This window comes from Homo sapiens, chromosome 10 (assembly GCF_000001405.40).
Source record: "Homo sapiens chromosome 10, GRCh38.p14 Primary Assembly".
In the NCBI taxonomy this organism is placed as follows: domain Eukaryota; kingdom Metazoa; phylum Chordata; class Mammalia; order Primates; family Hominidae; genus Homo; species Homo sapiens.
In genome coordinates this window covers 67,677,495-67,692,512 of record NC_000010.11, presented here as the reverse complement: position 1 = coordinate 67,692,512, position 15,018 = coordinate 67,677,495, and the positions used below count along the sequence as shown (strand labels likewise).

General features: G+C 43.9%; 1 protein-coding gene across 4 annotated transcripts in view, besides 2 other annotated features; it reads left to right on the top strand.

The window, feature by feature from the left end:
- CTNNA3 (catenin alpha 3) overlaps positions 1-15,018 on the top strand; it is a 1,851,072-nt gene that overhangs the window by 71,082 nt on the left and 1,764,972 nt on the right. The gene's annotated exons all lie outside the window — the stretch shown is intronic.
- Positions 2,219-2,388: an enhancer, noted in NCBI's record as "experimental_15994 CRE fragment used in MPRA reporter constructs". NCBI's record gives its function as "activates a minimal promoter by MPRAs in K562 erythroleukemia cells, with activity observed for the non-introgressed 10:69449968 or rs117044537 variant allele {active_cell/tissue: K562}" and the evidence as "EXISTENCE:reporter gene assay evidence [ECO:0000049][PMID:34662402]".
- Position 2,303: a transcriptional cis regulatory region, noted in NCBI's record as "Neanderthal adaptively introgressed variant 10:69449968 (GRCh37/hg19 assembly coordinates) or rs117044537 in the experimental_15994 CRE". NCBI's record gives its function as "modulates activity of the experimental_15994 enhancer by MPRAs in K562 erythroleukemia cells {active_cell/tissue: K562}" and the evidence as "EXISTENCE:reporter gene assay evidence [ECO:0000049][PMID:34662402]".

The window sequence follows — 15,018 nt, the reverse complement described above, 5'->3', positions numbered from 1 at the left end:
CATCTTGCACCGCCCTTAATCCATTCAACCCTGAGTGGATACAGCACATGTTTCAGAGAGCACAGGGTTGGGGGTAAGGTCACAGATCAACAGGATCCCAAGGCAGAAGAATTTTTCTTAGTACAGAACAAAATGAAAAGTCTCCCATGTCTACCTCTTTCTACACAGACACGGCAACCATCCGATTTCTCAATCTTTCCCCCACCTTTCCCCCCTTTCTATTCCACAAAACCGCCATTGTCATCATGGCCCGTTCTCAATGAGCTGTTGGGTACACCTCCCAGACGGGGTGGTGGCCGGGCAGAGGGGCTCCTCACTTCCCAGTAGGGGCGGCCGGGCAGAGGCACCCCTCACCTCCCAGAGGGGGCGGCTGGCCGGGCAGGGGGCTGACCCCCCACCTCCCTCCCGGAGGGGGCAGCTGGCCGGGCGGGGGGCTGACCCCCCCACCTCCCTCCCGGACGGGGCGGCTGGCCGGGCAGAGGGGCTCCTCACTTCCCAGTAGGGGCGGCCGGGCAGAGGCGCCCCTCACTTCCCGGATGGGGCGGCTGGCCGGGTGGGGGGCTGACCCCCCTACCTCCCTCCCTCCCGGACGGGGTGGCTGGCCGGGCGGGGGGCTGACCCCCCCACCTCCCTCCCGGACGGGGCAGCTGGCCAGGCAGAGGGGCTCCTCACTTCCCAGTAGGGGCGGCCGGGCAGAGGCGCCCCTCACCTCCTGGACGGGGCGGCTGGCCAGGCGGGGGGCTGACCCCCCCACCTCCCTCCCGGACGAGGTGGCTGCCGGGCGGAGACACTCCTCACTTCCCAGACGGGGTGGCTGCTGGGTGGAGGGGCTCCTCACTTCTCAGATGGGGCGGCTGCCGGGCGGAGGGGCTCCTCACTTCTCAGACGGGGCGGTTGCCAGGCAGAGGGTCTCCTCACTTCTCAGACGGGGCGACCGGGCAGAGACGCTCCTCACATCCCGGACGGGGCGGCAGGGCAGAGGTGCTCCCCACATCTCAGACGATGGGCGGCCGGGCAGAGACGCTCCTCACTTCCCAGATGTGATGGTGGCCGGGAAGAGGCGCTCCTCACTTCCTAGATGGGATGGCGGCCAGGCAGAGACGCTCCTCACTTTCCAGACTGGGCAGCCAGGCAGAGGGGCTCCTCACATCCCAGATGATGGGCGGCCAGGCGGAGATGCTCCTCACTTCCCAGACGGGGTGGTGGCCAGGCAGAGGCTGCAATCTCGGCACTTTGGGAGGCCAAGGCAGGCTGCTGGGAGGTGGAGGTTGTAGTGAGCCGAGATCATGCCACTGCACTCCAGCCTGGGCACCATTGAGCACTGAGTGAACGAGACTCCATCTGCAATCCCAGCACCTTGGGAGGCCGAGGCTGGTGGATCACTCGTGGTTGGGAGCTGGAGACCAGCCCGGCCGACACAGTGAAACCCCGTCTCCACCAAAAAAATACGAAAACCAGTCAGGCGTGGCGGCGCGCGCCTGCAATCGCAGGCACTCGGCAGGCTGAGGCAGGAGAATCAGGCAGGGAGGTTGCAGTGAGCCGAGATGGCAGCAGTACCGTCCAGCTTCGGCTCGGCATCAGAGGGAGACCGTGGAAAGAGAGGGAGAGGGAGACCGTGGGGAGAGGGAGACAGAGACGGAGAGGGAGAGGGAGAGGCTGTAGCAAGACTTTCTAGATGAAGGAAGCACTCATTAACTTACATTCTGGTACAAGCTCCTTTTCTCATCGCAGACCTGCAGTTTGAGTAGCGTTGCTTAAGTTACACTGTATAAACATTTATCTCCTCTTGAGAGGTGAAGCTGGCTAGGCTTCAGGGTCAGGTGGGGACTTGGAGAACTTTTCTGAATAGCTAAGGGATTGTAAATGCACCAATCAGTGCTCTGTGTCTAGTCTAGCTAAAGGTTTGTAAACGCACCAATCAGCACTCTGCAAAAATGCACCAATCAGCGCTCTGTGTCTAGCTAAAGGTTTGTAAATGCACCAATCAGGACTCTGTAAAAACAGAACCAGTCACTCTGTAAAATGGACCAATCAGCACTCTGTAAAATGGACCAATCAGCAGGACATGGTGGGGGCCAAATAAGAGAATAAAAGCTGGCTACCTGAGCCAGCAGTGGCAACCTGCTCGGGTCCCCTTCCACACTGTGGAAGCTTTGTTCTTTCACTCTTCATAATAAATCTTGCTGCTGCTCACTCTTTGGGTCCGCACTACCTTTATGAGCTGTAACACTCACCGTGAGGGTCTGTGGCTTCATTCCTGAAGTCAGCCAGATCATGAACCCACTGGGAGGAACAAACAACTCCAGACGTGCTGCCTTTAAGAGCCGTAACACTCACTGTGAAGGTCTGTGGCTTCACTCCTGAAGTCAGCAAGACCACGAACCCACCGGAAGGGAGTAACTCCGGACACATATGAACATCTGAAGGAATAAACTCCAGACACACCATCTTTAAGAGTGGTAACAGTCACCGTGGGGTCTGCGGCTTCATTCTTGAAGTCAGCGAGACCAAGAACCCACCAGAAGCAACCAATTCTGGACACATTTTGGCAACCCAGATGGGACTCTCGCCTATTGCCAAGTGATGAGTACCATCAGACCCCTTTTGCTTGCTATTCTGTCCTGTTTTTCCTTAGAATTCTGGGGGTAAATACTGGGCACCTGTCGGTCAGCTAAAAGCAACTAGCGCGGCCGCTGGACTAAAGACACAGGTGCCAGGCTTTCTGGGATAGGGCTCTCTAACAATCCCTGACTCTATGGAGTTGGGAATGTTGGTTTGCCTGGAGCCAGCTTCCACTTTAATGGTACTTCCAGGCTGAGCCGAGGGTTGACAGAGAGGAAAGCCATTCAGCTCCGGGGTCCCAACAACAAGTTGGTTGACCCTGCGGCCATGAGTGGAACTCTCAAAATCATGTCACCCAAGCGAGACTTGCCCATCTATCCTATCTCCTGACCCTTGCCTCCTGGGTCCTAATGCCTGTCAGACAAACTTCCTCTCGCCTCTCTTCTCTGAGGCTAGTCCACTTCTAAAAAGCACTCCCTGTCTCTGGTGCTTTTCTAGTTTCTCCTATAAGAATGATTTCTAGTATAAACTTCAGGACTCTTTTACCTTCTTTAGGCACCCGGGCTCACCAATCAGAAAGACATAATTTTTGCCCAAAGTCCCATCTGGGCAAGGGACTATCTGGAATTTTAGGATCCCTCTTCAGACAAGCAGGCCTAACAAAAGCTATTCCTGAAGCTAGGATATGGGGAGCTTCGGAAATGGTATCTTTCCTATTCATATAAGTGAGGACAAAAAGCATCACTCTTCCAACTCTGGAGATCCTTTCCCTCTCTCAGGGTATGTCCGTCCAGTTCATTTTTGGGGCATAACATCTTTATAGGACAGTGGTAAGGTCCCAATACTAACAGGATAATGCTTAGGACTCTAACAGCTTTTTGAGAATGCATCGGTAAGGGCCACTAAATCCAATTTTTCTTGGTCCTCTTTGTGGTCTAAGAGGACAGGCAAGAATGCAGGTTTTTGAGAATGCATCAGTAAGGGCCACTAAATCTGACCTTCCTCGGTCCTCTTTTTGGTCTAAGAGGAAAACTAGTGTTTCTGATGCTGCGTCGGTGAGCACAACTATTCTGATCAGCAGGGTCCAGGGACCGTTGCGGGTTCTTGGGCAAGAGGTGTTTCTGTTGCTGCATCAGTAAGTGCAACTATTCCAATCAGCAGGGTCCAGGGACTATTGTGGGTTCTTGGGGAGGGGTAGAAACAAACCAAGACCAAGGGTGGTTTTGTCTTTCAGATGGGAAACACTCAGGCATCAACAGGCTCACCCTTGAAATGCATCCTAAGCCATTGGGACCAATTTGACCTGCAAACCCTGAAAAAGAGGCAGCTAACTTTTTTCTGCACTATGGCCTGGCCCCAATATTCTCTCTCTGATGGGAAAGATGGCCACCTGAAGGAAGTATAAAGTACAATCCTATCCTGCAGCTTGACTTTTTCTGTAAGAAGGAAGGCAAATGGAGTGAAATACCTTATGTCCAAGCTTTCTTTTCATTGAAGGAGAATACACAACTATGCAAAACTTGCAATTTACATCCCACAGGAGGACCTCTCAGCTTACCTCCATATCCTAGCCTCCCTATAGCTCCCCTTCCTATTAATGATAAGCCTCCTCTAATCTCCCCCACCCAGAAGGAAACAAACAAAGAAATCTCCAAAGGACCACAAAAACCCCTGAGCTATCATTTATGTCCCCTTCAAGCTGTAGGGGGAGGGGAATTTGGCCCAACCCGGGTACATGTCCCCTTCTCCCTCTCTGATTTAAAGCAGATCAAGGCAGATCTGGGGAAGTTTTCAGATGATCCTGTTAGGTATATAGATGTCTTACAGGGTCTAGGGCAAACCTTTGACCTCACTTGGAGAGATATCATGCTATTAGGTCAAACTCTGGCCTTTAATGAAAAGAATGTGGCTTTAGTTGCAGCCCGAGAGTTTGGAGATACCTGGTATCTTAGTCAAGTAAATGATAGAATGACAGTCGAAGAAAGGGGCAAATTCCCTACTGGTCAGCAAGCCATCCCCAGTATGGATCCCCACTGGGACCTCGACTCAGATCATGGGGACTGGAGTTGCAAACATCTGTTGACCTGTGTTTTAGAAGGACTAAGGAGAATTAGGAAAAAGCCTGTGAATTATTCAATGATGTCCACCGTAACTCAGGGAAAGGAAGAAAATCCTTCTGCCTTCCTCGAACAGCTATGGGAGGCCTTAAGAAAATATACTCTCCTGTCACCCGACCCACTCGAGGGTCAATTGATTCTAAAAGATAAGTTTATTACCTAATCAGCCACAGATATCAGGAGAAAGCTCCAAAAGCGAGCCTTGCGCCCTGAACAAAATCTGGAGGCATTATTAAACCTGGCAACCTCGGTGTTCTATAATAGGGACCAAGAGAAACAGGCCCAAAAAGAAAAGCAAGATCAGAGAAAGGCCACAGCCTTAGTCATGGCCCTCAGACAAACAAACCTTGGTGGTTCAGAGAGGACAGAAAATAGAGCAGGTCAATCACCTGGTAGGGCTTGTATTCAGTATGGTTTGCAAGGACACTTTAAAAAAGATTGTCCTACTAGAAATAAGCTGCTCCCTCACCCATGTCCACTATGCGGAGGCAATCACTGGAAGGCTCACTGCCCCAGAGTACAATGGTTCTCTGGGCCAGAAGCCCCCAACCAGATGATCCAACAACAGGACTGAGGATGCCCGGGGCAAGTGCCAGCTCATGTCATCACCCTCACTGAGCCCCGGGTATGTTTAACCATTGAGGGCCAGGAAATTGATTTCCTCCTGGACACTGGCATGGCCTTCTCAGTGTTAATCTCCTGTCCTGGACAGCTGTCCTCAAGGTCCGTTACCATCTGAGGAATCCTGGGATGGCCTGTAACCAGGTATTTCTCCCACCTCCTCAGTTGTAACTGGGAGACTTTGCTCTTTTCACATGCCTTTCTTGTTGTGTCTGAAAGTCCCACACCCTTATTAGGGAGGGACATATTAGCCAAAGCTGGAGCTATTATCTATGAATATGGGGAACAAGTTACCCATTTGTTGTCCCCTGCTTGAGGAGGGAATCAACCCTGAAGTCTGGGCATTGGAAGGAACAAACTCAAGGTCCATCCTTAAGCCTTCCCACAGGACAAAACTTTTCTTTATACATCACAAAGAGAGCAGGAATAGCTCTTGGGGTCCTTACTCAGACTCATGGGACAACCCCACAATCAGTGACATACCTAAGTAAGGAAATTGATATAGTAGCAAAAGTCTGGCCTCACTGTTTACAGGTAGTTGTGGCGGTGGCTGTCTTAGTGTCAGAGGCTATCAAAATAATACAAGGAAAGGATCTCACTGTCTGGACTACTCACAATGTAAATGGCATACTAGGTGCCAAAGGAAGTTTATGGTTATCAGACAACCGCCTGCTTAGATACCAGGCGCTACTCCTTGAGGGACCAGTGCTTCAAGTGCATACATGTGTGGCCCTCAGCCCTGCCACTTTTCTACCAGAGGATGAGGAGCTGGTCAAGCATGGCTACCAACAGGTTATAGTCCAGACTTATGCCACCCAAGATGATCTCTTAGAAGTCCCCTTAGCTAATCCTGACCTTAACCTATATACCGATGAAAGTTCATTTGTGGAGAATGGGATACGAAGGGCAGGTTATGCCATAGTAACAGTACTTGAAACTAAGCCTCTTCCCCCAGGGACCAGCACCCAGTTAGCAGAACTAGTGGCACTTACCCAAGCCTTAGAACTGGGAAAGGGAAGAAGAATAAATGTGTATACAGATAGCAAGTATGCTTATCTAATCCTACATGCCCATGCTGCAATATGGAAAGAAAGGGAGTTCCTAACCTCTGGGGGAACCCCCATTAAATATCACAAGGAAACCCTGGAGTTATTGCATACAATGCAAAAACCCAAGGAGTATAAGACTGCCAAAACCACCAGAGAGAAAAGATGGAGAGAAAGAAAGAGAGAGACAAAGTCAAAGACAGAAGGAAAGAGAGAGAGGAAGAAACAGATAGACAAAGAGAAGGAGACAGAGGAAGAGACAGAGACAAAGAAGGAGTCAAAGAGAGAGACAGAGAGAGGAAGATACAGAGAGACAGAAAGTCAAACAAGGAAAGAGGAAGAGACAAAGAGGGAGTCAGAGAGAAAGAGACAGACAGATGAAGAAATCAAAGAGGGAGAAAGAGAGAGATAGAAGTAGTAAAGAAAAAACAGTGTACCCTATTCCTTTAAAAGCCAGGGTAAATTAAAAACCTATAATTGATAATTGAAGGTCTTCTCTGTAACCCTATAACACTCAAATACCACCTTGTTGTCAGTGTAAACAAGGGTGTAGCCCGAAAGCACTGAGGCCACTGACAACCCATAGCCTTCCTATCTAAAATCCTTAACACAGCAAGTTTCCTAACAGGGGATCTAAATCATAATTAATTACCATACAAAGGTCCAACCAGACCTAGGAGGAACTCCCTTCAGGACAGGACGATAGATGGTTCCTCCTGGGCGATTAAGGGAAAAAGACAATGGGTGTTCAGTAAGTGATAAGGAAACTCTTGTAGAAGCAGAGTTAGGAAAATTGCCTAATAATTGGTCTGCTTAAATGTGCAAGCTGTTTGCACTCAGCTAAACCTTAAAGTACTTACAGAATCAGGAAGGAGCCATCTATACCAATTCTAAGTTAATATGGACTGAACGAGGGTTTATTAATAGCAAAGAATAATTAAAATCCCAAACTTACAAGGTTTTCAACAAAAGTAAAGTTTGCTAAAAGTTAACGGAGTAACATGTATTATCCTACTACCACACACTCTCAAAGGATTTCTCAGACAGTTTGCAAGAAATAACAAAATCTATCCTTACTCTACAATCCCAAATAGACTCTTCGGCAGCAGTGACTCTCCAAAACTGCCGAGGCTTAGACCTCCTCACTGCTGAGAAAGGAGGACTTTGCACCTTCTTAGCGGAAGAGTGTTGCTTTTACACTAACCAGTCAGGGATAGTACAAGATGCCGCCCAGCGTTTACAGGAAAAGGCTTCTGAAATCAGACAACACCTTTCAAACTCTTATACCAACCTCTGGAGTTGGGCAACATGGCTTCTCCCTTTTCTAGGTCCCATGACAGCAATCTTGCTATTACTCACCTTCGGGCCCTGTATTTTTAACCTCTTCGTCAAATTTGTTTCCTCTAGAATCAAGGCCATCAAGTTACAGATGGTCTTACAAATGGAACCCCAAATGAGCTCAACTAACAACTTCTACTGAGGACCCCTGGAGTGACCCGCTGGCCCTTTCACTGGCCTAAAGAGATCCCCTCTGGAGGAAACTAGAACTGCAGGGCAGGCCCCTTCTTTGCCCCTATCCAGCAGGAAGTAGCTAGAGCGGTCATCGCCCAATTCCCAAAAGCAGTTGGGGTGTCCTGTTTAGAGGGGGGATTGAGAGATGAAGCCGGCTGGGCTTCTGGGTTGGGTGGGGACTTGGAGAATTTTCTGTCTAGCTAAAGGTTGTAAACGCATCAGTCAGCACTCTGTGTCTAGCTAAAGGTTTGTAAACGCACCAGTCAGCACTCTGTAAAAACGCACAAATCAGTGCTCTGTGTCTGGCTAAAGATGTGTAAATGCACCAATCAGCACTCTGCAAAAATGCACCAATCAGCACTCTGTGTCTAGCTAAAGGTTTGTAAATGCACCAATCAGCAGTCTGTAAAAACGCACCAGTCAGTGCTCTGTGTCTAGCTAAAGGTTTGTAAACGTGCCAATCAGCACTCTGTAAAAACGGACCAATCAGCACTCTGTAAAACGGACCAATCAGCGCTCTGTAAAATGGACCAATCAGCAGGATGTGGGTGGGGCCAAATAAGGGAATAAAAGCTGGCCACCTGAGCCAGCAGCGGCAACCCGCTCAGGTCCCCTTCCATGCTGTGGAAGCTTTGTTCTTTTGCTCTTCACAATAAATTTTGCTGTTGCTCACTCTTTGGGTTCGCATTACCTTTATGAGCTGTAATACTCACCACGAGGGTCTGCGGCTTCATTCCTGACGTGAGCGAGACCGTGAACCCATCGGGAGGAACAAACCACTCCGGATATGCCGCCTTTAAGAGCTGTAACACTCACTGAGAAGGTCTGTGGCTTCACTCCTGAAGTCAGCAAGACCGTGAACCCACCGGAAGGAAGAAACTCTGGACACATCTAAAGGAACAAACTCTGGACACAACATCTTTAAGAGTGGTAACACTCACCACGAGTGTCTGTGGCTTCGTTCTTGAAGTCAGTGAGATCAAGAACCCACCAGAAGGAACCAATTCTGGACACACTCTTACCTATATGCATGAAGGCAGAGAATTGGGATGAAGGTATACAATTAACTGGGTAATAAATGAATTACCAATTCTCAGTTGATGAGGCCTCTAGGGGTGGCATCAGTTCAAAGAGGCCCAGAGTTAGCTCATTGAGGAGCCCACAGAATAACTGAGAGGCAGGATTGCTGAAGGGCTACACTGGGTCTACTCTAATGTTGGTTTGGAATTCATTCATTCATTCTATATGACTTGTGTGCCAGACATAGTTCTTAGTCTGGAGATAAATACCAGTGAACCAAAAATAGACCCTGTCCTCATGATGTTTCCTTTCTAATGTGTGTGTTTTTGTGGATGGGGGTGAAGACAGAGTAATACATAAACCAACTTCTCTGAGATTCACCAGAAGAGATCCTGGGTTCTTAGTCCAGGGCTGAAGCTCATGGGTCATGTTTTCATGGGAATTTGCAGGATTAACTTGCTTTTCTGTTAGACTCTGCAATTTCTATTTTCCCAATGTGGGATTACAAAGGAATCTTAAGAATCAAATAGTCTGTGATAGACACTGTTGGTTGCCTATGCAATATCCATGTATTCTCCTCTGCTTGCTAATTGACAGAACCCTAATTTGGGTCAAGAAAAAAAAGGCATAATGTTATGCAGGTTGATCTTGTATCTTCTTCCCGCTTAAGACAGTTATATTTGGTTAAGACAGATGCATAGCAGTTCTAATAGACCTGCCTCATTCTTTCCAGCAGCTTTGTCGTGTTTTACTCTGTGTATGTAGCAGAATTTATTTAGCCCATTCTGAATTGATGGACATGTTTGTAGTTTTCAGTATTTGTTGTTTGTTTGTCCTGTTGCTGTGTGCAATGAATATGCTTGTTCATATATCCTGGTGTACTTTTTGAGTGTATCCTTAGAATACGTTCATGGAAGTGGAATTGCTGTATCAATGGGAATGTTTATTTTAAAATTTCATAAGTATTACATTTAATTGGAAATATTCAAGAGTACACATAATTTATAATTTGAGATGTATTGTCATATTTCTCTTCAAGAAGTTCATATCAGTTTATACCCCTTCAACAGTGTATACTAAGAGCTTATGTTCCTAACACTTAAACAGCACTGATGATACCATATCAAAAATTTTCAATTTTGGCTGCTTGGTGAAAATAATATCTTGTTTTATTTGATTTGCATTTAATTAATTATAAGTATAGTTGAACAATTTCTAAGTACTTATTAACCCATTGCCCTTCTTTTTACATAAATTGCCTTTACAAATACTTGCCCAATTTTTTCTATTGAGTCTTTTTTTTTTTTTGAGATAGAGTCTCGCTCTGTCACCCAGGCTAGAGTGCAGTGGTGCCATCTCAGCTCACTGCAAGCTCCGCCTCGTGTGTTCACACCATTCTCCTGCCTCAGCCTCCCAAGTAGCTGGGACTATAGGCGCCCACCACCACGCTGGGCTAAATTTTTTTTTTTTTTTTTTGAGACGGGGTTTTGCTCTTGTCACCCAGGTTGGAGTGCAATGGCGCAATCTCGGCTCACTGCAACCTCTGCCTCCTGGGTTCAAGCAATTCTCCTGCCTCAGCCTCCCGAGTAGCTGCGATTACGGGTGCCCACCACCACGCCTGGCTAATTTTTTTGTGTTTTTAGTAGAGATGGGGTTTTACTGTGTTAGCCAGCATGGTCTTGATCTTGTGACCTTGTGATCCATCTCCCTCAACCTCCCAAAGTGCTGGGATTACAGGCATGAGCCACCACGCCTGGCTGAGTTCTTCTTTTTATCCCACCATAGTAAATTAAGCAAATTAGCTTTTTGCCTGTTTAATATGTTCCAGGTATTTCCCCATAATTTGTTGTTTATTTTATGACTTTTGTTTTATTTTTGAATTATATAGAAAACAAAATATTTTTGTAGTCAAAATTTTAAACCTCTTCCTTTATAGCTTCTGGGTTTTGAGTTTTGCTTAGAAAGGGCTTTCTGCTTAATTATTATAAATTTATTATACATACTTTAAAAATGTATTATACATAAAAATTTCCACTTAGTTATTATACATTTATTATACATAAACTTATATATTCATACTTTCAGAACTTTAAAATTCTTGCTACATCTGGAATTGAATTTGGGCAAAAGAGTGAGCAGGGAGTAAGCTTTATTTTTAATTTTTCTCCTAAATGTTTATTCAGTTGATCATTATAATTTATTTAAGAATCACCTTTTTTCCTGATAATTTGAAAAGCCGTATTTATCATAAGCTAAGTTTATATTGGAGTCCATTTCTCAGCTGTCTTTCCTGTTCTATTAATATTTGTTCCTATTTTTTCCAATCCCTACTTTTAAAATAACTTCATTTCATAATATGTTTTAATAACTGGAAGGAATAATCCTTCTCCATATTCTTTTCTGTCCTTTCAGGATTTTCCTAGATGTAATCACATAATATTTATTTCTAGATGAATTTTAACATTTTATCAAGTTCTCAAGTGGTCTGTGGACATTTAACAGGGAGAATTAACACTTCTGTAATGTTCAATTTGCCTATACATCACTTTTTAATATACTTAATTCTTCTTTTACAACCCTCAGTAGAGTTTTAAAGTTGTTTTCATATCAGTATTTAAAAAATTTTTATTGGTATCATAAACGGTCTCTTTCCTTCCATCATATTTTAAAATTAGTTATTATGTGTAAGAAAGTGAGCCATTGATTTGGGTCCACATTTGTATTTTTAAGAAGTGCCTCCGGTGGTTGATACACAGCTAATATTCATATGGGCTTTTGGGATCTAGATCTCTATACTGCTCTTTTGGATTTATTTCTTCAACCAGGTGTTTCCTCAGATCTGTAACTAATCAGTCCACATATCTTTTTTAAAAAGTCATTTATAAAAATTAACTTTCTTAAAGTAAAAAGTTATATATGCATATTTATTTTAGTAAAGGGTACCTTAGCCAGGGTTTTTGATTATAACTAAAGTCTACTTTAGCTGGTTTAAGCAACAAGAGTTTCATAAATGACATTAGGTAGTTCATAGATTCTCCATGAGAGCCAGAGAAACAAAGACAATGCAGCTGGGAAGATTGGACAGTGATACAGAAGTACTGGTTTCTACCGTTTGGTGCTTTTGGGCTGGACACTGGAAGCCCCATCGCAGCTTTCCTAGAAGGATCTGATTCCTGTGACGTTCTAAAATCTCACCCAAGCCATGATTGATTGGTGAAATCTGGGTTCTATTTCAGTCAATTTATTGCTCCATGTTATTCTGAGTTATTTTAATGTTTTATCTGTTAGTGAGGACTGATAGTCCCTAGTGAGGCATACAAATTGTTAAAATATGAAATGCTTTTGTACTTCTCCCTTACCCTTACCAGTGATTTTCCTTCACTTGGCCTCTGCTTGAGACCCCCTGGACCTTTCCTAGACCCAGCAACTGAAAGGTAAACACTTGGCACAGGATGAAGCTTCCAAGACAGCTCCAGCCTAAGCTCTGATTGCTTGGGGCCTGAGCCATGCTGGTTGTTAAATATTTTTAATATCTCTCCTACTGTTACTCAATTGACATCCAATTAGATTCTATATATTTTTTAAGGCTTTTCTGACCCACTAATAATAATTAAAAGTCAGACCAATGAAAGAATATATGACAATTTATTTAACCAGTCCCTTATTAATGCACATTTAGGTTGTTTCTACCTTTTGTTGCTACAAACAATTCTGCAGTTTGTGATATACATCTTTGTTCGTATGTTCAGATCCCTAGAAGTGGCATTACTTTGTTCAATAATTCGTGCATATAAAATTTTGTGGATACTGCCAGAATGCTTTTCAAAGAGATTTTACCAATATTCACTTTGACCAACAGTGTATGAGATAGCTCACATTTCTTTATCTTGGCAAAGAAAATTTCACAAAAGATTTAAAAAATGTTTGAGTGAAACCAATTTTATCTTTTAGCAATGATTTTTTTAAAAAAAGGAAGAGAAGAAAATTAAGTTAGTTTACTATGAGTGGCTCCTAATGAACCTATACCAATGTAGCAAAAAATCATTGTTCTCTTTTCTAATTAATAATATTTTGATACTTTTCTAGAGACCAAGATAGAATTTGGTTTTACTTTTTAAATTCTACCTTTCTGATATATGGGAAAACATTTGTGAATTCCCAATATTCTGTTACCACTCTCATTTTCCATTAGTATGCCAAATGCCAGCAAGAATTCTGTGATAATATGTGCATGTTTTTCAGTGCTCTGTAAAATAGTGGTTCTCAACTCAGGGTGCTTTTGCTTCTCAGAGGACATTTGGCAATGTCTGGAGACATTTTTGGCTGTCATAACTAGGGGGCAGGTTCTTTTGGCATCTAGTGGGTAGAAGCCAGGGATGCTGCTAAACATTTTACAACACACAGGAAAGCCCCCAACCATAAAGAGTTATCCAGCCTCAAATGTCAATAGCACTGAAGATGAGAAACCCTGCTTTAATGGAATATACCCAGAAATGGTCATTTATCTAAATTGTTAAGCATTCTCTTACTATCTTTTCTCCTTTCTCGTTTATCAATTTCATCTCAAGATTGTTGGTACAATCTTTTTATTTTAAAGACCATTCTCCTTGGGAGACAAGATGAAAGCAAAGTAAAAATATTGTTATTTTGCTTTCTCTCTATTACTTGTTAATATGAAATCTGTCTGGGGGAGGAGGAGACTTGTACCTTTTTTATCTACTTCCATCATCAAACACAACCTTAAAAGTTTTTGTGTTGTTTAAGTCTTTGCTCATCCTAGGTTTACACTACTTTTCTAATAGACTGATACTACAGTGATGTGTTCATCCTAACCTTTACCTTCTTCCTTCTTTTGTGTGTTCTTTAAACATCTCAGCTCTTTAGAAGGCTCCTTGTATACCATCTGTGTGATGTAGTAATGGCTTAAGTTTTTTGACCTATTTTTCATTTAAAGTCTGTGGCTCTGGGACATTCTTATATTTTCTCTCAACTGCTAAGCAATCTAAGATACTTGTCTTACTTTGCTTTGTGTTTTCTTTCTTTACTGTAATGAACTCTAAGGTGATATGTTCAATTTTCCCCAAGGTTCCTGTCACTTTCACTTCCCTAACGTATCATTCTTTGTTGGTAATAATTAAATCCAGGGTAGCAGTTCCATTCTTTGCTTCTTTTGCCCTCTGAATGATGAAGCTGCTGGTAGAGAGGCAGGAGATAAAGGAGAGGAATGATTCAGATTTTAATTACTTCATTGTCTTTTTCTTTTGCCAAATTCTTGGATGTTTAAATCTTTGCCAGGTCTCTTTTTATCTTGACCTGTCACTTCAGTCAACTTTCTTTTCTTTTTAGCCTTTCCATCACTTCTTTCCTAGAATTTACATTTTTGGGTATTTCACTGAGAACACAGAAGAGATATATTCTAAATTTTCTTTTGTCTTGGTGATAATTTTCCCTTACATCTTTAAGAAAGTGTCTTCCTCTTTTATGTTACACGATTTTTAAATTTTGTTTTTTTCTGTTATTTTTGAAATACATAAGATTTATATTTAGTCCTGGTGTTTGTCAGAAATGAGGTATGTGTAGCCTTTGAGCTCAATCAGTATTAGTTTTGATTCTACAGAATTATTCTCTCAAATCTTAAAGTGAAGGACAAGTATCTTGTTAAGTTTCTGGGCTACAGGAGGTACATTTGCATCGGGGCAACTCTTCTCCTACTCCTATTATTTGTTCCTCTACTTGGAGGTGAATTTAACCCTAGATAATCTGAAGCAATTCGATTCACCTTTCTAAAAGAGACACATAAAACCTAATCTCCAGAGCACCCTTCTGTCTGTGTTTTTCTTATGTCTGCCTTCTCTTTTGGGGCTTTCTCATACCAGAGTACAATATGTCATTCTTTCCTTGTCCCCTCTCATCCTGTGCTGCATTTCTGCGACTCAAAATCTTCTGGCTGAGTGTAGTTAGAAATGTATTGCTAGGAGGTGTCTAGGAAACACCCCTGGCTACCTGAAAAGCAGCTTCTTTGAAGTAAGGGGGTGCAAGCTGACTTTTTGATTGGTTGTGCCAGCCCCAAGTCTTTGATAGGATGTGAGGATACATGGGTGGGATGTGAGGTTGTTGCAAATTTAGACACAAGTGAGTTT